The following is a 25,142-nucleotide window of genomic DNA, read 5'->3' on the forward strand; positions in this document are numbered from 1 at the left end:
TTGGGAAAACAACGCCAATAGATTTACTCAACTCAGGGTTCCCACAAACCTTCCATTTGTAAAACATGCCATATCTGCAAAGCACAGTAAAATGAGGTATGTCGATACTTTAGCCCTTAGTCCTTGGTAAGAGAGGAGAGACACACTATAATTTATAATTCTTCTAATTATTTTCAAACTATTTTGGAGAAACATCATGGGGATACTAACTTTTTTACAGTATAAAAGTAAGTTAATCATTCTGTAGTTCCTGGACTAATCCTCCTCTTTTTTTAAATTCATATGCTGCTTTATTTCCATAAGGATACACTGAAACATTAGACGATAACAGCTAATGACAGAATGTAGAAATGAGACATCAGCTTCTCTAACCACTCCTACAAGAATGTTAGTACACATAGTCATTACATGTTTACTTTTGATATTGTCTCATTATATCATAAAATAATGTAGAATACAGTAAGTAGGTGATCCTGTATTTCAGGTAAGTGGTAGGTGGAAATCCGCATTTCCTCTTGAGGAAAATTCCTAGGAATCGCTATAGGAGGGACTTTGCAGCCCTCATTAACACATGGACAAAGAGCAGACAACTGCGTTACAAGGGATTCAACTCACCACTGCTCTGTACTGTCATATCCATGTTGATGACAGTCCTGGCACCTGCTCAACTCCCCCTATAGAGTTTTGCAGTTACTTCCATAGGATGAATTTCAACACTACAGGAACATCTGAAAGGGCTAGAATATTTTCATGCAGGCCAGGCATGGCGGCTCACGCCTGTAATGCCAACATTTTGGGAGGCCTAGGTGGGTGGATCACCTGAGGTCAGGAGTTCAAGACCAGCCTGACCAATATGTTGAAACCCCATCTCTACTAAAAATTCAAAAATTAACTGGGTGTGGTGGCGCATGCCTGTAGTCCCAGCTACTCAGGAGGCTGAGACAGGAGTATTGCTTGAACCTGGGAGGCGAAGGTTGCAGTGAGCTGAGAATGCGCCACTGCACTGCAGCCTGGGCGACAGAGCAAGGCTCCGTCTCAAAAAATAATAATAATAATAAAATAAAATAAATAGAATATTTTCATGGATGTTTCCAAACCTATAAACTATTTTGCTATCAATTAAAACAAAAATATTCCTAATTAAAAACAATAAAAAGGACATCAGGGTTGGTTTTGTTAAGTTTCCAGAAGTATTTGCTGTGACAATGTTCCTCTGAAACAGGCTCGTTTTCTCAGATCTGCCTACACTTCCCAAATCACCTGCATGTTCCATGCTTTAAGGTAGGAACACTCAGAAAACATGCCACATGGGGAAATCAAACATTAGTATGGGGAAAGGTCAGTTTAGAATTACAGCTAAGTTCAAATGTTAATTTTCTGGAAGTGCATATTAGTCATTTGAAAGCACAAAATAACAGAAGGAAGGTCAGAGTTTTGATGAGGAAGTTAAATCATGCACGTCAGTAAGTTCTTTTCCTGCTCACAGAAGAGGGTGAGCAGCGAGTTGAAGCAGCCACTACAACTCTTGCATGTCGCGTGACTACACGGTAGGTCCCAGCTGAGCCGCAAGAGGCATCTCAGTGGGGGCTTTATCTCATATGCTTCTTGCTTACATCACTAAGTGGCTAAATGACTAGCACTTTTCTGCTCTGTGAGAAACATGCAGAAGAGTCAATCTACTTAAATTTTCGTTTTTCAGTTGCAGCTGGACAGAAATTCACTTTGCTGCAGGGTTGCTTTTTGCTAAATCCTAATATGATCACTGTGTGCCCTTATTTGAGTAATACTGTAAAACGGGAGAAAAGACAGGAGACCTTTAAAGAGGGGAAAGACCACTCTTCCCCATTGATGGTATAGGGCAGAGAGTAAGGACACAAAGAGCAAAATTCAAATTCCATTTTACAGGGCAGGAGCCCCTGTCAGTTTACAACTTTTTGGCACAGTCAGGGCAATATACTTGCTCCTCGTGGAAAACAAAGTGCTTGTTGGCCAGATTCACAGAGCATTTTTTGCAGTGGAAGCAGCAGTCGTGCCAGGATTGTCCTTCATAGGCCACCACACTGGAGCCTTTACCAAACCCAGTGATGGGGTGCTTGCATCCAGCACACTTCTTGGCCACAAAGTTCTTGTAGCAATCCACACAGTATTACTGGTCCTCCACAGTGGTGAAATGCTGCACAGCCAGCTTCTTAGAGCAGGTAACACATACAAAGCCCTCGGCATGCCAGGGCTCATCCTAGTAAGTGACTCCCCAAGATGCGATGGCCTTGTTGCACTTCACACAATGCTTAGCAAACTTGGTCTCATGGCAAGTCACACAGTAGAAGTCCTTCCCTTTAGAGAAGAAGCTTCCAGTCCCCATGACTTGCTTGCAGTTGCTACAGGTGAAGCGGTCTTTGTGCGAGATGGTCCCCTTGTACTCCATTTTTGATCTCCTGCCACAAAGGCCTTGAAGCACCCCTTACACTTGGGAGAGTCCTCCTGAGTGGCAAACTTGTTGCACAGGATCTTGTTGTCCTTGGCCACAAAGGTCTCATTGGCAAGGGGTGAAGGCACTTGGCACAGTGGAAGCAGGGGTCATGCCAGGAGCAGTTTTTATAGTGCACCTCCTTGGAGTCCACATGGATGGGCTTGCAGCATTCCACGCAGGTGTTGGCACAGAACCTGTCAAAGCATTTCAGGCAGCAGTGGTGGTCACCCTTCTGCACATACTTTTTCCTCTGCAAGGGGTCCCTGCAGTAGAGACAGTCAAAAACTTCTCTGCCATGGTGCCCACCTTATAGCTGGAGGGACCTCACTTTGGATGTGTGACAAACAGGATGTATTTGGCAAGGGCTGGATATGGTTGAAAACAACTTCCAACGTGCTGCCTGGGGATGCTCACCCGCACAGCTGGCGGTGGCGGAGGTGGCAGTGGCTGCAGACTGCCTCCTCTTTTAATATATGCATTGTATTCATTCTCTTTTGAAGTATTCCACAGATTCTCAGAATCAGTTCTTCATTACGAGCTGTTCAACAATTCATTCACTCAGTAGATATTTACCAAGAATCTATGTGCCAGGCCTGGTGCTACAGGCTAAGGATAAAAAGGGAACACCACAGGCGCTACCTTGGCAGAGCTTATGATCCAGTAGATTTGTTGATTAGAGCGTTTATTATAAGCAGGTATATTCGTGTGTGTGTGTGTGTGTGTGTGTGTGTGTGTGTGTGTATTTAGCTAACTCAAGTTGGAGGAGAAAGGGGTAAATACTAGATGACACTCAAGTCTTTTATCAGCCCATTCCCTGTAAGTCCCCTCTCAACATTCTAAGTTCTTTGTCATCTGAAAAGTATTCAGCAATCTCAGATGTCCTTCTTTTTGTGCTCCTTTTTGGGGAATAGCTAGGTTTCCACACATTTTTTTCCCCACAGGTGTACTCCTACATAGAGAAATAGCCTATTTCACTGCAGAAAGGGTGAGAAAGTTCCAAAAAAGGTAATAAACCAGCTGTTAACAGAACCTAAAAACCCCACTTCTTAACTGTACATCTTTCTGTCTGCCTCCTAAGAGTATGCCTTTGCCTTTGGAAACACAAAAAGAAAGAGAGTACGTCTCCCTTCTGGGGATCAGCAACCACTGCGGATGCTCCTGCACTGGAGGCCTCCGTGCTCATAACCATTATGGGTCCTGCCATTGAACTGTTCTTACAGAAAGTGCTCTTCACTGGGTACCTTGAACCAATGTCAAAACCAAGCCTGTGCCACTAATGTGTGACACTGGGGGCTGTGGGCTACAAGGGGCCCATGTATCTGTGTCAGGAGAGAGAGGCCCCATGCAAAGCAAAATGTATAATGAAGTCTGTTTAACGCAAAAGCTACCTAGGAAAATTCTCTCTGGAGCAAACGCCCAGAATTCCATCTGCAGCCTGACTAAAAGTACCTAGGAGAGAGAGTTGTGAAAGAGGAAGGAGAACAAAGAAGAAGGAGAATCAAGGGAGCTGTGACCCTAACTTATGGTCCAGCTTCTATCACCTGTGACAACAAAGCTAGGAAAACTATGCTACCTACTACCCTAAGACATCCATCTTTTAAACTGAGTCCAACCACCAACATGAAAAACAATACTGACTCACCCCTCCACCCATATCGTCCATTCTGGACCAGACCTTCTACCTTGGCTCACAGGAAAAGAGGAAAGTGTTGATGTGTGCCAAGTGGAGGAGAAGGGACTGTGCTTTGGACTCCCTCTTTCTAGTCACACCACCAGGGAAGATGCGTGCCCTCAGGAGACCACCTGGCAGATAGTCACCCATTTGGCTCCTGGTCCCTCCCCCTTTCCAGCCACTTTCTCCTGCTGAACCCATCTTGCAGTTCATCTCAATTAGGGCTCTGAGTTCTGTCTTTCCCAGACAAGCAAACTCACCCTAAAGAGTTTCGTCCAACGGGACCATCATTCAATTCTTGCAAGTCTCACTAGTCTCACTCTGTGGAGGGCTATTTCTCCCTGTCGTAATGACCAGCTTGACAGTGGATGTATCTTCATCCCATGTCCTGCTTCTTGACTCCGAATCCCTTAGGCCATCATATTCTAAATTCAGAGTACCTCACCTCCTAAGCATTTCCTGTAACAGTAAGATATCCATACTTTAAGTTATTCAATTTTCCTATAGTAATCATCTCAACCAGTCTCCTACTCACTGCCCCAAGGTCTCTAAGAATTTATGCAAATGACACTGGGGGACAAGGTCATAATCTCCCCTTTCCTCAAGGGCACAGGCCTCTTCAGACACACACTAGGATATGCTGTCTATGAGCTATATTTATAATATGGCATTGACATAGCCTTTCTCTTGCATCTGCACTCCATCCTGCTGCTTCTCTGGACTTATCTCAATCCTCAAATTCTCTGTTTTAAGCCTAAGTCTTTACTCCACACTGTTGCAAAGCTATTTCGTTAATTTAACTGGACACATCACACAATATCTACCATTAGCCTTGTGTTATAAATCAGAAGCCTGTTTATCTTCTAAGGTAGACTCTGTCATTAGCTGCTTTGGATCATAGACTAAAAATAACATTCAACTGCTCTCTGAACCCTGCAAAGTGTAAAAACTAGAAATGTCTTTTTTTATATGGGCCAGGCTGATAACTTGCTAAAATGTCAACCTGTTCTTTGACATTTGTGTGAGTAATCCAACAGGTTCTGTGCAGGAAGCACAGTATTTGCTAGAGTTATTTCAAGTACAGTACAGCACTTTGCTTTGATAATAGAACTCAGCTGCAGTCTTCTTTCACCTGTAAAACAGAGATTACAAGTGTTTACAGAAAGCGCTATTTGACAAATAATAAATGAGAACAGTTTCCTGATATTTTCAGGACTTCAATCACCATCCTGTAGTACAGCAACATTTTCTTTTCAGACACATATTTAGGTCCCCAAACACTGAATAAATAGAAATAGCTTCCTTCCAAACAGCAGAAGGAAAGTGTGTGTGTGTTTTTTTGTTTTGTGTGTGTGTGGTTTTTTGTTTTTTTTTACACAGAGTCTCACTCTGTCACCCAGGCTGGAGTGCAGTGGCGCTCACTGCAAGCTCCACCTCCCAGGCTCAAGAAATCCTCCCACCTCCCACCTCAGCCTCAAAAGTAGCTGGGACCACAGGTATGCACCACCATGGCCCAGCTAATTTTTTCATTTTTTTGTGGAGAAGGGGTTTCCCCATGTTACCCAGGCTGGTCTCAAAACCCTGGGCTCAAGTAATCCTCTCGCCTTGGCCTCCCAAAGTTCTGGGATTATAGGCATGAGCCCACTGCACCCAGTCAAGAACTTTTATTCATGGTAGTTTTTTCTTATGAATTAGGTGGTGATCGAGTGGTTAATTGTTAATGAGATTGGAGTTACTGTCATAGCCTAACAATGGACTTAGAATCCTTTAATATTGAGCTTTTCCTAAATGATCAGCTTAGCTGTTTGTGTTAACACCAGTGGTTTGTCACCAAAACCACTCATTTAATTGAGAAAGCAAATAAATAAATATTCACAGCACAGGGATCTGAATGCATCAGCCAACATCTGATTGTATAAGTCATACAGACATGAGAGGGTTTATCAGCAAATCCAAAAGACAATTCTAAATAGGACTAAAAGGCAACATTTTTAGTCCTGGGAGTGTAAGTCATGGGGAAAATGTCTTAATTCCAGGATTTATGACTGTTCTCATACCAGAGGCATTTAAAAAAATCATTATTTACCAGCCTTTATTTATACCCACCAACTCTTCAGGCAAACAACATCCACATTAGGTATTCTAAGTACTGCTTCCCTTACAGAGAATTTTGCAAAGTGAATGGTCTAATCAGGTTACTTCTTATGATTACTGTCACTGAAATACTGAAATCATAAATTAGGACTTTGTTTTTAAGAATTAGGATAATGGATAAGAATAAGAGCTTTTTTCTGCTTAGCAGTCTAGGGAAAAAACGCAAATAAATTTTTTTCTTTTTTTTTTTTTTTTTTTTGAGAGGGAGTCCCGCTCTGTCCCCCCAGGCTGGAGTGCAGTAGTGCGATCTCGGCTCACTGCAAGCTCTGCCTCCTGGGTTCATGCCATTCTCCTGCCTCAGCCTCCCAAGTAGCTGGGACTACAAGCGCCCGCCAACACGCCTGGCTAATTTTTGTATTTTTAGTAGAGACGGGGTTTCACCGTGTTAGCCAGGATGGTCTCAATCTCCTGACCTCGTGATCTGCCCGTCTCGGCCTCCCAGAGTGCTGGGATTACAGGCGTGACCCACCATGCCCGGCCCAAAAAACACAAATAAATATTTTTTTAAGAAAAAAAGAATAAGAGCTTTTTTAAAAAAAAAAAAAACCCTACATTTGTTAGTATATGAAAAAAGTGACTAAATCTGGGTGGATGCTATGAAATGCAATAATTTGTGTGAAAATTCACTTTCCATGAACATTAAAATCTTTTCTTTAAAAACGGTAGTTTGTTTTAGTTATCTTTGTTTCTTTGGATGGTGTATTAATTAGGATGTTCTAGAATGCAAATGACAAAATCCAATTCAAACTGACTTAAATCATAAAGGAAACATATTGGACCTAGTAATTAAAAAGTCTAGATGTCTGGCTTCAGGCAAGAGTTAATCTAGTGATTCAAATGCTGTCACCAAGGATCCAGTTTTCTCTTTGTGCTGCCTTCCTTTGACTTCATCTTCAGGTTCTATAGAAGTAGCTTCCAAGCAGCTTGAGGTCCTTCTCTCAGGATGGTAAAATGCCCAGTGCAGTCCAGACCTAACATTCTCAAGTCACACAGTAGAAAGGAAGAACATGTCTCTTCTAATAGATTCAAAGTCCTGGGAGTCACTCTGTCTCATTGACTCCTTTGACTCTTGTGCCCAATAACTGTGGCCAAGAGAGCTGAATACATGGATTGGTCCACCCCTGAAGCCTGAATCTTTAAAATCTTTTTAGCTGCGTAATCTTGTTTTTCTTTTTTTTTTTTTTTTTTTTTTTTTGAGACGGAGTCTCGCTCTGTCGCCCAGGCCGGACTGCGGACTGCAGTGGCGCAATCTCGGCTCACTGCAAGCTCCGCTTCCCGGGTTCACGCCATTCTCCTGCCTCAGCCTCCCGAGTAGCTGGGACTACAGGCGCCCGCCACCGCGCCCGGCTAATTTTTTTGTATTTTTAGTAGAGACGGGGTTTCACCTTGTTAGCCAGGAAGGTCTCGATCTCCTGACCTCATGATCCACCCGCCTCGGCCTCCCAAAGTGTTGTTTTTCATTTATAATATCTCATTATACCCTTTTTGGTTGTTATCCCCTTGAGATGAGCAACTATAACTTCTAAATTCCTTGCACTATTTCAAAGTGCTCAAAACAATGAATGCTCAACAAGTGGGATTGAGTGATCTAATAATTTAAGGTAATCACTCTGTTGTAATGATCATTACAGTCATTCTTTATCAACTGTTTTTTAGTATACCAGGGTACTTTGCAAAAAACGGTCACGTACCACTTAATGATATTTTGGTCAATGACAGACTGCATGAGACGTTAGTCTCATAAAACTATAATACTGTACTTTTACTGTCCCTTTTCTGTGTTTAGATACACAAATACTGCTGTTACAACTGCCTACAATATTTAGTTCAGTAACATATTATACAGGTTTATGACCTAGGAGCAACAGGCTGTAGCACACAGCCTAAGTGTGTAGTAGACCACACCATCTAGGTTTGTGTAAGTATACTATGGTGTGCACATAATGACGAAGTCACCCAAGAAGGCATTTCTCAACATCCCTGTTGTTAAGCAATGCATGAGTCTATTAGTATCACAGGATGATGAATGTTCTCCATGGCCCCTCCAGATCCTCTCTTCACCCTCTCCATCATGCTCAGTGCCCAAGAGGCTGACTTCAATAGACTGTTCAAATGGCTCCCTTCCCTCTAACTTCCACTCAAGGTCAGCCAATGGAACCACCAAGAGGAGTCTGAGGAGTGCAAGGAAACAGGAGAGGGAGTGTTGATTTCTTGGTCCCCTTCCTGCTTTCCCGGGCTGCTTTCCTCATGGAGGCCACAGCTCCTGTCAAGTAACCCTCTCCTGAAGCTACAGCTACATCTCTTCCCAAGTTGTAGATTCTGGGAAACCAGTTTTTCCCTTTGTCCTTTCAGGCCTAAGGATGAGAAGGCTCCCTGATATTGATAGTTCTCATTGGTTTCTCTTAATCCCTACATCTGTGTGTGTGGTCCTTCACTATCTCCTCAGTTACGTTATTTCAGTGTGCCATTTGTGTACTGCCAGGATCTTGACACACTATTACAAAACCCAATTCAAACTGGCCTAAATCATAAGTGGAATTTATTGAATGATGTAACCAAAAAATACAGACATCTGGTTTCAGGCCTCCCAAGGATCTAATCATCTCCCAAAGGTCCCACCTTTAAATACCATCCTCTTGGAGGTTAAGTTTCAACATACGAATTTTGAAGGGACAAATACATTTAAATCATAACATGTCTTCGTCAATTTTTTAAATTAAAAATAAGTTTTTTTAATTCTTTTTTTTGAAACATAGTCTCGCTCTGTCGCCCAGGCTGGAGTGCAGTGGCGCGATCTCGGCTCACTGCAAGCTCCACCTCCCGGGTTCACGCCATTCTCCTCCTGCCTCAGCCTCCCGAGTAGCTGGGACTACAGACGCCCGCCACCACGCCTGGCTAATTTTTTGTATTTTTTGTAGAGATGGCGTTTCACCGTGTTAGCCAGGATGGTTTCGATCTCCTGACCTCAAGATCCGCCCACCTCGGCCTCCCAAAGTGCTGGGATTACAGGCGTGAGCCACCGCGCCCGGCGAAGTTTTTAAATTCTAAAAGCAATGAATGTTCATTATACAGAATGTAGACATTTAAGATTAACAACAACAAAAAAAAGGAGATGGGAAAGAGTAGCCTTTAATTCCACTGTGGTAAGTATTTTGGTGTATATCCAATGCTCAATCATTCCTCTCTCTCCCCCTCTGGGATCTTACTGTAAATATTCTTTTAAGTATCTTTGCATCTCAGAACCTAACACAGGTTCTACTTGCATGAGTAAATGATATTTAGGAAAAAGATCAATGCTTGAATGTCCAAACCAGCTCTTTTGTCACATGCTGCTAAAGATAATATAGCAACTGCTACACCATTCTGTTCCCATGTGCCTGCCAAAGGAATACCATGTCAAGGACTTATCTGAACCATCAAGAAACCACAATACTGTACTAAGTTCAAGGGAATGCTCCTTAAAAGGAGAGGGACTTTACAAGCCCATTGGCAGGGCTTCACAAGTGAAGGAGCCCTTCACTTGGAGCTACCAGATCTAGATTTAAATTTCAACTGGGTCATTCTACTCATTTTACTTGTTTAATCCTCCATTTTCTAATCTGTGAGATGAAGACATCAACTTATGACCTATAAGATCCCTAGCAGTTAATGGTCTATGACATATATCTCTATCTATCCAAACACAAACATACGTGTGTGCGTGTATGTGTATGTGTGTGTTTGTGGTGTGTGTGAGTGTGTGTGTAAGAATGAAAAAAAGCAAGAACTATGCCTTAGGTGCTAGTATGACAAAATCTGAGTTTGTTTGCTTGTTTTCTAAAAAGCGAAGTCTTATAGGTAATCCAGCCAATATGTTTTTCATGCCTACACTTTCTGTGGCTAAGTTAGGAAAACCGAAAGCAGGAAACTCAACAAAGTACGACAAAAAAATAACTGGAAAACACTCCTCTGTGTGTGTGTGGCTTTTATTAGCTCTCAGTGAGATTCTCAAATGACTGTTGTAATTCTGTCTGAAGTTCCCCTTCTTGTTTCATGGCTTAATGCTTTGTTGTGTCATTTCTGAAACACTCCCCCATTTCCAACGTTACAAGCAGAGAACAGCTCTTCACTCACTTGTGAACAAGAAGTGTTGTAAGAGAACTTAACAAATGAAGCAAAAGAAATCATAATATCAAAGCAGGTTAAGAAAGGAAAATGAGAAGTGTCTGGAGGAAAGGGAGCATGAACTATCACCGCCTACCTTCCTTCCATCAAGCTCAGAGACGTTTTTAAACCTCACACCAATTCTTTGACAGCTTTTAAGAAATGAGATGCTTCCATTTTGATCTGAGTTATGCTGAGGTGCCTCTTCGCTCTGCCTAAGCAGAAGGTAGGTTAAGCTTGGTAGAGGTGAACCACAGGGAGCCATGCTTGGAAAACTCTGCTCCTGGGAAGTTTATCCATTCAAGTGCACCAAGGCTTTAGAACTCCCTACCCCTAGAATGTCTGCTTTTTCCAAATAATCAGAACACATTTGTTTATTCCCAGTACGGGTGATGTGTACCCAATTCTTATCCATTTCCTCCAGCTTGGGACATTTTGCCACTATGCAAGTACCAGGGCTGGCTGCAAGTGTTGTCTTTTACGCCTCAGGTCCAGACCAGTCCTGCTGTCCCAGCTTTCAATGTTATGGCCACCAAATGGGTGTGTGGCCCTCCTGTTCCTGTAGTCAGTGGAGACTGGGGAGTAATTTCTGCTTCCACCTTGGCTGGCACAGGAGTCCTCTCATCTTCAGCCACTGTGGCTGCTGCTCTTGCGTCGAATTTTTGTGGTTTTTTTAATTTAAATTTTATAGTTAAAAAAATTAGAGCATATGGTCACATGGCTCAAGAAGATATACTGTGAAAAATTTCTCTTCTGACTTTGTCCTCCTGCCACTAAATCCCCTCCTGCAACAAGCAAAAATGTACATATATTCTTTTTAACCTCTTTTTTTATTGCAAATGTTAACATACTACATTGGAAATTTTTCACCTAAAATACCTAGAGATTATTTCACAACAGTACTTAAAGAGCTTCCTCACTGTTTTAAAATGTTGTATGACATCTCATCATGTATGACTATCATGATTTATTTAACCAGTCTCATTTAGCCAGCTGATAGACTTTTTCAGGCTCTTTCCAAACTTTTTATTATGTATGGCATATACAATTTCATATCGGTACAGGCATATCTGTAGGACACATTCTTGCAAGTGGAATTCTGGGCCAAGGTGCTTATGTAATTAAAATTTTCACAGATGCTGCAAAATTGCATTGTCTGGAGGTTGCACCCATTTACACTCTTCCAGCAATATGAGTGACTCACACTCATACTGGGCTTCAGTTTACTTATGTAGGAACTTAACCTGCTCGAAGTCACTCCAGCCTAATGGTCTCCCAATTTAAAATTGTTTAACATAATATTAATGCCTAAGCCTCAATAGTACCCCCCCTCCTACTTGCTCAACTGCATGTAAGAGATCCAGTTTTTTATTATTATTATAATGAACAGAAATTTATTGGCTCACAGTTCTGGGGGCTGGGAAGTCCAAGGCCAAAGGGCTGTCATCTGGCAAGGGCCTTTTTCTGAGAGATCCAATGTTTAATAGTGTCCCTATTTCTATAAATTTGCTATAGACTTCAGGGATATTACATGTGCCTATGAGCCCGTCATTGTCATTATTTCCCATTCTGGTGAGCTGAACACATCCTCTGTGGCAGGTGGTTCCATAGAAGCATCACTCAGAACTGAAACAACTCCTGAGCCCATGGCTATCCCTGGGTCCTGGTGGAGTGGAAACTCAACAATGCCTAGAGCTACATCTAGTGTCAATGAGCTACAGTCCTGCAGCTGTGCTGGTAAAGCTGGAACTGAAATGTCCTTGAGACTACAGATCCAAACAGTTGACCTTACAAAGTGAAAAGGACAATACCCCATCTGGGTGACACTCAGGTGCAGCAGTACAGGGTCCCACAGTAAGGTTGTGTGGATCTAATGTATTAGACCATTTACTCTCACAGTTCCTTTAATTAATACGCTAAACAACTTTTGCCAAGGATCATACCTACTGCTAGAAGTCTGTGTTGAGGTAAATTCTACAGCAATAATCTAAAATCTCCACCCCATCTGAAGCCCATGCTCTATTTCTGGGTCTAACTTTCCAGGCTGGGCTCCTTCTTCTCTTACAGGGTGCTCCTTCCTCTTATGTCCCACACTGTTCTTTCCAAAACTCGTGCCCTCATGAGGACCACACTAGTCCATCAGACCATGTTTTATATGCTTTCACAGAGTTTCAAGTCTTTTTCTTGGAAAGCTGTGCACCCCTGGCATAAATCGGTGGATGCCAACAGAACCATGGTAGATGGATGTACAAAGGTCACCATGTTGACTCTCACTCACAAATCGCATCTAACTGATACTCTCTAGAGGATCAGGTCAAATTGATAATAAGTAAATGAGTAAATAAACTCTTCCCTACAGTAGTATCACAATAAATGTAGAAGGAATGACAGAAATAGAAAATCACAATTTGGTAAACACCACAGTAATAAATATGTCAGGCAGAGATAATTAATGGATACTAAAATTAATAGACAAAAGTATGATGAAAAACAGAATACTTACATAGTTTCAAAGTATCCCCTCATAAGATGCATATTAATTTCAAAGGAAAGAACAGTAACTTTACAGCAGTGAAACCTGCCAGATCCCATCTTAACTAAGTGATCAAAGTGCCTCATTACCAATGACAAGACACATCAACTACTTTCCTCCTGACAAGACACACTGAGAAGGGTACAATGTCACTTCTATGATATTCTTGACAAAACGTATAACCTGAATTAAATCATTGGGAAATAACAGACAAACATAAATTGAAGAACATTCTGCAAAATAATTGGCCAGTACTCTTCAAAGAGTCAAAGTTATGAAAGAGAAAAACTGAGGAACTGTCCCAGATTAAAGGAGACCAAGGAACCATGAAAACTAAATGCAACTGGTGAGCTTGGACTGGATCCTGAACAGAAAAAGTCCACTAATGGGACAACTGACAAAATCTGAATAAGGTCTGTAGATTACTTAGTAATACTAAGTTCATTTCCTGTTTCAAAAATGGTACTATAGTTACATAATATAATATTTGTAGAAGCTAGGTAAAAAGTATGTGAAAATTCTTCATATTAGTTTTTGCAACTTTCTCAATAAGTCTAAAAGCATTTCAAAAGGACAAGTTGGGAATAATAAAAATAAATTTTAAAAACTAAGACAGCAAAATTCACTTATTACAATATTGGTTTGTAGAGAGTGTAAAGATACATATTAATTACAAAAATTATATTCATGCTTGAATTTAAAACTGGACAAGTAAACTTATCCTTTGATTAGTCAAATGTTGGCTTATTCAGGCATTTCTTAAAAGCACTCTCTAAAATTTCAGCATTTATTTTATTATCAGAAGTTGAAGGTCAGTATAACAATTGTATGTGAAAATATTTCAGTAATCCTGGTTTGCCCTTGCAATAATCTGAAGACATCTCTGCTGGGGACTATTTTATTATGACAATCGAGCACTAAATACACTGACCTTCAGATTGTCAGTTACTGGGTGAAAATGGATAGAAGATTTTCCATTTGGCAGATGAAAAATCAAGACCCCCAAATCCCTTTCCTTAGGAGGTACAGCTTAGGCAAGAAACCTATTATATTTTTTGCTGTTTGCCTAAAATATAGCAATATACCACTTTAAATGTAGTGATTTCATTTACCAGGGGAAGGAAAAAAACTGTATAACCTAGAGGCAATATGTAGAATAAAAAAAAATGATAGAATAATTGGAGCCACAGGAAGCGGAACATTTCTTACATGACACGGAAGATTATAAAGTGTTATCGTTTAGTAGTTTCTTATATAAATACTCAAGGAAAAATAATTGAATAACTAGTAGCCTTAATTTAGGGGTGGACCCATAATTACTACTTATAACAACCTCTGCCAAATTATTTAAATATTTACCTAAAAGGTAAAATATCCAGTCTGTAAGGTTTGCTGGCCTATTGTTCTTTTCATTTCAGAGACATCCACATTATTAAACATCAGCTGGACAACAGCACATGAGTACAAGAGTTGTCAGAAAATCATCTGAGGCCAGTGTAAGAAGGAATAGGTTTGAGGATTTTTTCCCAATCGGCAAGTGAGGTCCAGGTCTGGAAGTCTTAGTTTCCTTGGCCCTCATAACTTCCCTGGATTCTGTGCTGAGTCTTCCTTCTTGACCTTTGCCATCCCACTCCCCTTTCCATCTTCTTTTTTTATTTTCAAGACAGGATCTCTCTATCATCCAGGCTGGAGTGCACTGGCATGATCATAGCTTGAACTCCTAGGCTCAACCAAGATCCTCCCACTTCAACCTCCCAAGTAGCTGGGATTACAGGCATGAACCATCATGCCTGTCCATCTTAATAGATGGGCTTGCACAAGAAACAAAGTCTGGGTATACTAACAACTTATGAGGTTTAGCTGCCTTTACTTGCCCAAGAGGTTTTCATTTTGGAGATTTAGCTTTGCCAAACCCTATACTTCCTCTCAAATTGCTGGATTGGAGATAGGTTGAGAGAGTGGATGTTTACATGTCTCTGTTCTCAGGTAAGTCTACACTTACAAGAAACTGGGCAAATGACTGATTCCCAGAATCTCTCTTCTTGCACAGGGAAGGGCTTCCTCAACCAAATCTAGGGAAGCTTCTTGTCAAATTGGTTGTCTCTAAATTCCACAGAGGACTATATAGAAAATAGAGTCTTTGGGATATGATGAAGACCTCTCAGTAGAATTTTGTCTGCCTCATAAATATCTTTCCCTCACTTACTAAAGCTCCAGAGGACAAAGATTATGCCATTTTCATCATTTATTATTCACTCCATCAACAATTTATTTACTCTGAGCCAGACCCTGGACTAGACATTGAGAACAGAAAACTAAAACATAGTACCTGCCCTTGAAAGGTTCACAGTCTGGCAGAAAGAAAAACAACTTATGATGTCAATTATATGTACTATAGCAGTGATTTTTACAAAATGTTGTAGGAGCCCAGAAAAAGGGTCAATTGAGTTTGCTGAAGAAATAATTCAGAGAAGCTTCCACTGTGGGGGTAACATGTTACCTGACCCTTGAAGGATAGGCCAGGTGGGAAGGAGAAGAAAAAAAAAAAAAAAGAAGAAGAAGAAAACACGTAGGTGTGGAAGCATAAATGGTGAGGTAGAGGAGTGACGGGAGAAGAGTGGTCTCACAGTTGTTCTTTAGGAAGGTGAAAAGGTAGGAGTGAAGTGGTTACCTTAAGAAAGAAGACAGTGATATTAGATATGGTCAACTGGCACACAGCAAAAGATGGAAAGCTAGTCTTCATTTCCCAGACTCCCTCAACTAGAGTTCCAGTTCTAATTAGATGCACTGGTAGAATATCAGAAGGACAAATGTGACAAGGAGGCCATCTTCCTGCTGCTGCTGCCCAGCAAGGTCATGGAGATGGTTTTTCTACAGCATCACTCTAGCATGCAGTCTTGATCTTTGTGAGAGTAGGAGGCAACAGCAGCAGTGCTGGCAAGAACTTTCTGATCCTGGCTTCCTGGCAATTGGATCACAGCTCTCCTAGTAGTCTACTGAACACAGTGTTGTCACAGTGGCCTCCTGGCTCCCCAAAGGTAGAGGTTCCCCCGGCTGGTTAGTCCTGTAGGGTCTGGCAGTTATTCAGGCAGGACCAACATGGCACATGGTCCTTCACACTTTCAATGATTTTGGAAGCATTTAATTCTCCTAATTAAGTATCTTTCTAACTAAAAAACTACATTAATTTCCCTTTTGCATTGAACCTTGACGAAGCAAATGTAAGGGGAAACCATGAGAACTCCATATGTGAATGAGAATGATACTGCTACCTTTTCTGTTCAAAATGGCAAAATAATTACCATTTTAATTAAGAAGATGAAGTGATTATTTTTATATATTCTTAGTCTAGTATTAGCAAGTTAAAATTTGTTACACTTTTTCAAAACAGTATTTGTGTTTGTTTTTCTATATACTTACTGTCTTATTTATGCCATTTTTTTTTCTTAAGAGACGAAGTTTTGCTTTGTCCCCCAGGCTGGAGTGCAGCGACACAAACACAGCTCACTGCAGCCTCGAACTCCTGGGGTCAAACAATCCTCCCACCTCAGCCTCCCTGTAGCTGGGACTACAGGCACATGCCACCATGCCTGGCTAAATTTATGCCATTTCTTGAGTAGAAGTATCAACTTATTTTAAAATATTAATTTGCCTCTTAAATAATATTAGATTCATTGCATTTTATATTAGAGCTATTTTATATTAAATTTATTTTTTCTTTGTGATAACATTAAATCACTAACATTATTAACTACATATTCTAAACTGCTTTTATACAAACGACATCAAAAAAAGGTCTGTTATTTGCTCTAGTTCCCTAGAATTTTCTCTTTGATTTTGTCACATATATATGTTTAACATATAAAATGGACCCAGAGAAAGTATTATTTAGAACAAAAAACTAAACCTATCAGCTCCCAGTTTGCATAAGTCTGATCAATAGGAATACATTTCTATATTATTCCCTTCCACTTGCTGAGATGGAAGTTCCCAGGAAACTGAATTTTTTCAAGTTCCTACCTATTCATCAGTCCTCCAGAGAGAGAGATCTAGATTGGAGAATGCTTTGTTTAGCACAACATGGTAATGAATTTCTTAATTTACAAAAACATGTCCAAAGGAATCCAATAGAGAGTAAAGAGCCCAATTTGTCTACTGTATAAAGCAAGGAAAATTCTGAATTTCAGAGACAACCCTAGGGAGAAGTGACAGAGCCCAGGGGCAAAGAGAAGAGATTCAGAAGGGTGGGAAGTATTCTAGAGTGAGTGAAGAAAAGTAGGCAGGTAGTCAGGAGCAGTGGGAAAGGACATGAGGAGGGCCTACAGGGATGGCCAGGGAACTCCTAGATATCAATACCTAATACTCCTTATTTAAGTTGTGGGCTCTATGTTATGGATTAAAGCATATAAAGAGATAGGAAAGCCATTAGCATTCTAACATTGGAAGGAAGAGTGGAAGAGGAGAACCCAGCAAGAAAGATTGAGAAGAAAGGATTAGAGAGGTGGGATGAAAAGCAGAAGTCTGTGAGACATCCTGGAGGGTGGTGGGAGGCAAGTGATCCCTCAGGTTCTTGGACTTAAATACCATCTATGCACTGATAACTCTGTAGGGGAAGAAAAACATTTCCCTATCCTGTTAGGTTCTGTACCTGAGGCCTATGCATTAAACTGACAAAAGACAGATTAACAGAAGAAAAGTGTACCAATTTTATTTGATGTTAATATTTTTACCATTCATGAGGGCTTCATGGAAAAGAAGTGAAAAATCAAAGAAGTGGTTAGACTTCGGGGCTTATATGCCATCTTAACAAAGGGTGATAAATTGAAGAGAAGTAACTAGATAAAGAAAAGGGGGTTTGGGTTTATACAGGTGGTAAACTGTGAGAAGGTAAAAATATAGGGGAAACTAATGGTAGATAAGGATTATAGTAAGGTTTCTTTGTGCAGACTCATCTTGGTGCTGTCTCCACTTCTGGTGGTAAGGGTTGTTTTCCTTGTCTCGGTATGGGAGAAGAATGGGGACACCTTTGTGAGAATTTATGCTCTTTTAGGCAGATAAGGACAGAGAGCTCTTGCTGTGTCTGATTTTCTCATTTGCCTTCAGGTCAAAATTATCCTTATGCCAAAGTGGCATATTTGGGGGGGCAACATATTCTGATTCCATTCAACTCCCAAATTTATACCTCCAGCCAAGACTTCTCCCTGAAATCTGCTTCTCATATAGGTGGCTGTGCAATCCATATTTCCTCTTGGATGTCCATTAGGCTTCTTCACATTAACACACCAAAAACTAAATTTCTATATTTTCATGCCAAACTTCTTTCACTCTTATATTTCTCATTTTAGTAAGTTACAATTCCATTCTTCTGGTTGGTCAAACCAAAAATCTTGAAGTTATCCTTGATTCCTCTCTTTCCCTCATATTCAGAATCTCATTGACTCTACCTTCAAAATATAACCAGAATCCAAGATGTCCCACTGCCTCTGTAGCAAACACCCAAGTCTAAGCCACCATCATCTCTCACCTGTTTGCTGCAATAACCTATGTCCCCACTTCTATCCCTGTATCTCCTCTCACAGTCTATTCACAACACAGCAATCACGGTCCTTTCTAAACAGAAGCCATTTTATGTCATTCTTCTAACCCTAATCCATCGTGGCACACCCTCTGAAGCCCTCATTTTACTCAGAGTGAAAGCCAAAGTCATTAAATGGCCTACACAATCTAGCCCCATTTCCCTCTGATCTTATCACCTACTCCTCTTCCTCTATTGAATCTGCTTTAGCCACTGACCTCCATACTATTACTCAAACACACCTGCACTCTCCCACCTCTGAACTTTTGTAAATGCTGTTCACTCTACCTTAAGTATGGTTTCCTAGGACACCCACTGGCCTTGCTCCTTCTTCTTCTTCATGCCGTTTTTGGTCAAAGTGGATCTCCTCAAAGAGGACTGCCCTGACCATTTAAGTTCCAATTACATCCTCCTTCCCACTGCAAGCAGTCCCTTTACCCTGCTTTGTTTCTATTGTAAGGCTTTTAACATACAGTGGGCCCTCCCTATCCAAGGGTCCACATCTGCTGATTCAACCAATTGAAAATACTTGGGAAAGAAAATTAACAGAAAATAACAATACCACAATAAAAATAATACAAATTTTAAAGTTACATAGTATAAAAACTATTTACATAGCATTTACATTGTACTAGGTACTATAAGTAATCTAGAGATGATATAAAGTATATGGGAGAATGTGCATAGGTTATATGCAAATACTGTATCACTTTTTATGAGGAACTTAAGCATCTGCAGATTTAAGCATCTAAAATCTAGAACTAATCCTGATTTACTCACTGTCATTCACTGTTACAGATTTTTGACAGGGGTCCTGCAATTAATCCCCAGCCAATACTGATGGACGACTGTACCATATAATTTGCCTTCTTGTGTTTTACAGTCTGTTCTCTTCTTCCCAAAATATAAGCTCCACAAGAGCAGGATGTTTGCCTCTTGAACACTAGTATATCCTCAGTGTCTAGAACAAGGACTGGCACATAATAAGCCCTCAATAAACATTTGTTTAATGAATGAATAAATATAACTCATTTCCTCAAAAATCTCCAGTAAAGTCTCTTGTAACTAATAGTTTTGCTTTGGCAAAAGAAAGAACAGGGGCCAGGTGCAGTGGCTCATGCCTGTAGTCACAGCACTTTGAGAAGCTAAGGCAGGCAGACTGCTTGAGCCCAGGAGTTAGAAACCAGCCTGGGCAACATGGAGAAACCTGTCTTTACAAAAAATTAAAAAATTTAGTTGGGTGTGGTGGCACGACCTGTGGTCCCAGCTATTCAGGAGGCTGAGGTGGGAGAATCCCTTGAGCCCAGGAGGCGGAGGTTGCAGTGAGCCGAGATCGCACCACTGCACTCCTACCTAGGCGACAGAGCAAGACCCTGTCTTCAACAACAACAACAATAACAAAAAATACTCCTCGTTTGGGAGAGAAATAACTGTCAAATAATAAGAGTAAAATTGGAAATTCAAAAGTAAGTTGGAACTAGAAGTGGCTAGGGGAAACTCCTTACTGCCACCATCAATAATATAGATGGTGTGCTGGGAAAAGGATTTGAGCTATTTTTATATAAATATTTTTATATAAATATTAAATGGAAAGGAGACCCAGAAATTTGACCCATAAATCTGAGGTTATATGTGTGAACATTAGCCATCATTCATGCTGCTACACACAACAGGGAGTCATGGAAGGAAGAAGGTCTGGAGTGTAAAGAGCATAGAAGTGAGGAGAACAATTAAAAGGCCATTGCAATACTAGTTCACGTAGGTGATGATAAGGACTTGAACAAGGCAATGGTAATGGGAATGATAAGGGAGGGAAGAATTCCAAATATCTCAGCTGTAGAATCAACAGGATTGGTGACTGACTGGCAGAAAGGCATGGTTGGGATGCATCCAAGGTTTCTAGCATGAGTAATTGAGTGAACAACGATGTAGTTATTAGATTTTTACAGTAAAAGGGGCAGGTTTTGCTGGGGAAATGGTGATTTTTAGTTGGACATCCAGTGGAAACATCCAGAAGAAATCTGGAATTAAACATGAATGCAGTATTTTGGAATTAATCTGTAAACAGAATGCACAAATAGAAGAGACAAGAGGAAGGTGAACATATAAAAACGGTGGCCAGGAACATGTGAGAATTGGGTAAAAGGAGAGAAGTCAACGAGAAATCAGAAAGAAGTTGATATACATGCCAAAGAAGGAAAAGAAGTCAAGAAGAACAGTCAATATTGTCAAATACTGAGTAAGATGCCAGCTGAGAGAAGGTATTGGGTTTGACAAAATAATTGTTACTGGATGGTGGAGGTAGAAACCAAATTGTTGTAATCTAAGGAGTGAATGACAGAACAAGAGGACACTAAATTAAAGCTCTGCTGATGAAGAAAATAGTAAGGCAGTAACTTGAGGATGAGTCATTGTCTATAAAGGATTTTTATTCCCCACCATAGTCCTAACCTAACATTTGACATCTATCTAGTAGGCACTCAATACCTACTGAATGCAATAATATTTTCATTTATAGACCAGGTCTCCTATAAAATAGTCCAGTGTTTATGTCCACATAAAACAGCACAAAACAGATTCATCATTCTGGGTGGGTAGAGGGATTGAAGGAAATAAAGACATTTCATATTCTATATTATGTTTTGGGTTAATTGGCAAGAATAATTACTTCTTTCTCACCCCATCCCTGACTATACACACACCCAAATTATAGATTATAGAGGAGAAAGGAATTAAATGACTCCTGAGACCAGAACTGCATAGTCCAAAAAAAAAAAAAAAATTCAGCAATCTTACTTTATTAAAAAATTAGGCATCAAGATGCTGCAATTTGCCTTACTTACATATTTAATTGCTCTTAGGTTAGATATATAATATGGGAAACCTGGAAAAAAATTTTAATGGTATAATAAACGCTTACAACCTAACATTAAGTGAAAAAAGCAGCTGCCTTATTGCATATGATCTCAATTTGGGAAACAGGAAAAAATATAAATACAAACACACATGCACACACACACACAAAGTCAGAATACTATAAGAAAATAAACTGAACGGTCACAGTGGCTCACGCCTGTAGTTCCAGTTACTCAGGAGACAGAGACAGGTGGATCGTTTTGAGCCCAGGAGTTCAAGACCCGCCCGGGCAACATAAGGAAACTCCATCTCCACACAAAAAAAGTAAAAATTAGCCAGGTGTGGTGGCTCATGCCTGTAGTTCCAGCTACTCAGGAGGCTGAGGAGGGAGATCAGTTGAGACGAGGAGTTCGGTGATGCAGTGAGCCGAGACTGCGCCACTGCACTCCAGCTTGGGCAATATAGAGCGAAACTCAGCATCAAAAAAAAAAGAACATCTTTCTATTCTGAATTTTCCCAATTTTCTACAATTAAAAACGCTTTAAAGATCTCTATAAAGTCAGTCAAGGGAATTTCTATCTAAGCACTTACCAGCAATTTGAGCTCCTTCTCTTTTGGTCTAGGTGGCTCTAAAATAACAATAAAGGCTACAGTGATTGAAATTCACCAGACTTGAAATAGACTGCAGCCTTCTTCCTTCCCACCTTCTTAGAATCTTTGTCCTATTCATCTTCCTTACGCTTCCCCGGGTTCTCTTACTTCTGGATTCTAACAGTGAGTTGTGAGAAGCAACGCGGAAAACGGAATGGAGACTCCAGCTTGTTTTAAACGAGCTGTATTACCCCGCACAGTGCAGGAGAAAAGATAATTGGCTCAGGTCTCGGCTCTGCCATCTACCACCTGTGGAGCCTTAGATAAGTCAGTTCTTATCTCTGTCACTCAACGGTCTCGGTCTTGTCATCTTTTACATGGAATGTCATGAAATATACAGTACATTGCAGGAACTGCCTCAGGTAAAGACTTCTAGGGTTCAGTAGGTCTCAGTCGATCCCTCTGAGAAAGGCCGCACCCTAAATGCACAGACTCTGACTCTAAGGGGATGGGGTCGGGGAATCTGCATTTTAGTAGCTTCTCAGGTGATTCAGATGCTCAGTCAGGATTGAGAAACCAGGACTCTTCCCAGCCCTCCTGTTCTCTGATCCACTTCTCTGCTTCCTCCACGTCCTAACGATTCTCCAGTTCCCGCACAGCAGGAGCGGAGGGAAGAGGGGAGAGAAGGCACCGCTAAGGACCGCTGGCCCCGCCAGGCGGCCGACCTCCCCATTCCAGGGGCGCCAGCCGGCGGATTACATAACGGGCCTCGGGGCGCGTTCTCGCGAGGTTTCCACCGCCCCCTCCTCGCTCCACGTCAGAGGGAACCGGGCGGAGCGGCCAACATGGCGGAACGCAGGAGACACAAGAAGCGGATCCAGGTAGCAAAGCCGAGCTCTGGGCAGGGGGCTTCGGCGCGCTGGATAGTGGAAGGGGCGGGGAAAGCCCCCTAAAAGGGCGAGCGAAAGCAAGGGCGAGGTGGGGTGGGGTGGGGTGGGGTTCCGCCGCGAGGCAGCTGGCTGCAGGCTGCGCGTTGTGAGGGGCCTGAGGGGGGGCGGTGTTGGCGACGGCGGAGACAGAGACGGAGGTGGTGGTGGAGCAGCAGGGGAAGGAAGGAGGCGCCGCGCTCAGAATCCGGCTGCGGAGGCGCGGCTGTGGGCCTGGAGTTCCTGTGGTCGCGCTGTCCCGGGCCTGAGCTGGAAGGTCAGCCTCCCCTGGGGCGCAGACGCTGACCCTTCCCGGGGCTCCTCCCCTCCCTTCACCCCATCCTCTGGCCTTAGCTGGCCTGAAATTAAGGCCACGGTAATAGGGGTAGCAGGAGGCGGCGGACTGACCTAAAGCAGCTGGTTCTTTGTGCGCATAGACCGTAAGGGGGAATGATCTGGACTTGGTCAGCTGCCTCGGGGCCTAGGCAGGGATCTGCTCATCCAGATGTTCAGTTGCGTTGCCCTTCTTTCCCTTCAATATTATTAACTTAATAGTCCACTTGAAGCTTGCCGGCTTTTTTCCGGGCGACGTGGTGTAAACAACCACAACCTCGTTGGTGCTGCAACGAGCTGGTGGAGCCCAGAAACCTTTCACATGCCAGTGTGTCATCCTCGTAGTAACGTACATAACATCTCCCCCTAATTCCACATGCGTGTCATTTGTGCATTTCTTCCTTGCGATTTTCCCTGGTTCTTGTTCTTTGCCAAGAGGATTAATTATGTAGAACATCTTGGACTCAGGATATTTATTAGTCGTCTCATCAGCTGATGTGCTGAGAAACCTTCATAAGCCCTCAAATTGATCACATGTAGTAAATTGTTACTATAATCATAAATTGTTACATTCATCATTGCCTTTCTGTTCCTTACTATTTCATTGCTTAGAATGATTTTTTCTTTCTTCCATTTTATCCCTTCTTTTTTTTTTTAAGTTTATCGATTTATTGGCGTACAATACAGATGTTTTGAGCTATGCAAGTTAAAATTCTTCTGTAAACTTTTTAAGTGCTGTGAAAAAGACACACATGATCAGTAAATTTGGAATTTTGGAATTTGGCAGAAATAAAGTAGTTCCGAACAGGGTGCAGAAGGGAATTAGAAAGAGGCAGATTTCGAGTTCAGACAGATAAGACTAGGTCTTAAGATCAGTAGAAGTTTCTAATTATACTGTTCTTAATCTTTCAAGAGTTAGTGTTATTCCTCTGACGTGGGTATACAGTATTTTATTAGATTGTATATTGAAATTGTCTGTCAGATTTGTACTTACAGAACTCCTTAGATTTACACTTGACAGTACAATTTTATGCCCTTCAATACACATTGTTTTACAATTCCAGTTGCTCTTTAATATTGTTGTAAGGGCTATATAATTCACCTTTTGAATAGCTGCTCTTATTTAGTTGTGATCTTATATTAAACAGAGGCTGTGGAGTAATGTGACAGTGGCAGAGAGCTAAAACTTGAGCCAAACTGCCTGTTTGTACCCCACCTCCACCAATTATTGGCTGAGTAACTTTGAGCAAGTTAATTTTTACCTCCCTGTCTGCATCGGTAAGAAAACATATTTACCTCAAAAAAAAAAAAAGCAAGAAAAAAGAAAAACTTTAAGATTGCTGTGAAAATAATAGGTGAGTCAACTTATTTATTAAAAGTTATTAAAAGTGTTTGGCACGCAGCCCCTCCCTTCTATTCTACTCCTTACCCAGGATGAAGGATTTAGATTGGATTGTTATTTTATTTTTTGTTAACTACTCTTTGATATGCTGAAGAAAGATTAACAACCCTCTATTCAGTAAACTATTAGGTTGGGAGTTATGTAGAGTATAGCTGTTTACTTTCTATTATTTGAGGATTGATTATTAAAATCTACTGGGCATACTGCAAAATTAAGTGACATTTATTTTTCTGTCCTTGAAATTTTCTACATGGCTGTATAAAATGTTTGTGAGAGATCTTAGAGTACTACTTTCATGCAGCCTAACACACTTATGAAAATATACTAGCCTAGAAAGTACCTCAGTTTTATCATTCCAGATAATCAGAAACTATAATACATCACTTGTGATAAAAAGATCAAATGTAATGAAAAGTTCAGAGTTTAACTTACAAAAAAGATCCTGTTGTAGAATTTTTAGGCAAAAGGTCTGTAATACCAACTGAGT

General features: G+C 41.2%; 1 protein-coding gene and 1 pseudogene across 5 annotated transcripts in view, besides 4 other annotated features; one reads left to right on the plus strand and one right to left on the minus strand.

Moving 5' to 3' along the window:
- On the minus strand, positions 1 to 22,751 carry FHL1P1 (FHL1 pseudogene 1; annotated as a pseudogene). Of its 2 annotated transcripts, none has more exons than NR_027622.1 (2): positions 21,995 to 22,751; positions 1 to 5,274 (listed from the first exon to the last, which is right to left on the minus strand). The product of NR_027622.1 is annotated as an FHL1 pseudogene 1, transcript variant 1 (transcript). The 2 variants fall into 2 exon arrangements; NR_024409.2 differs by lacking the exon at positions 1 to 5,274 and adding an exon at positions 10,244 to 11,224.
- Positions 1,778 to 1,827: an enhancer, noted in NCBI's record as "active region_20789". NCBI's record gives its function as "activates an Ori minimal core promoter by ATAC-STARR-seq in GM12878 lymphoblastoid cells {active_cell/tissue: GM12878}" and the evidence as "EXISTENCE:reporter gene assay evidence [ECO:0000049][PMID:35858748]".
- Positions 10,770 to 11,049: an enhancer, noted in NCBI's record as "active region_20790". NCBI's record gives its function as "activates an Ori minimal core promoter by ATAC-STARR-seq in GM12878 lymphoblastoid cells {active_cell/tissue: GM12878}" and the evidence as "EXISTENCE:reporter gene assay evidence [ECO:0000049][PMID:35858748]".
- Positions 22,503 to 22,942: an enhancer, noted in NCBI's record as "active region_20791". NCBI's record gives its function as "activates an Ori minimal core promoter by ATAC-STARR-seq in GM12878 lymphoblastoid cells {active_cell/tissue: GM12878}" and the evidence as "EXISTENCE:reporter gene assay evidence [ECO:0000049][PMID:35858748]".
- Positions 22,824 to 25,142, plus strand: part of SEC62 (SEC62 preprotein translocation factor) — a 31,567-nt gene continuing 29,248 nt past the window's right edge. For 2 of the 3 annotated variants that reach the window (XM_011513114.4, NM_003262.4), the window contains exon 1: positions 22,824 to 22,875. Coding sequence is in view for 1 of the 3 variants with exons in the window: in NM_003262.4 (NP_003253.1) it covers positions 22,840 to 22,875 (36 nt within the window). In the remaining 2 variants the exon portion in view is untranslated. Of the gene's footprint in view, positions 24,609 to 25,142 lie in introns of all 3 variants that reach the window. The other variant, XM_047448819.1, reaches the window with a different exon arrangement.
- Positions 24,499 to 25,031: an enhancer, noted in NCBI's record as "NANOG hESC enhancer chr3:169686270-169686802 (GRCh37/hg19 assembly coordinates)". NCBI's record gives its function as "activates a minimal SCP1, AML or CMV promoter by ChIP-STARR-seq in primed H9 embryonic stem cells {active_cell/tissue: H9 hESC(primed)}" and the evidence as "EXISTENCE:reporter gene assay evidence [ECO:0000049][PMID:30033119]".

Source organism: Homo sapiens, chromosome 3, assembly GCF_000001405.40.
Source record: "Homo sapiens chromosome 3, GRCh38.p14 Primary Assembly".
Taxonomy (NCBI): Eukaryota; Metazoa; Chordata; class Mammalia; order Primates; family Hominidae; genus Homo; species Homo sapiens.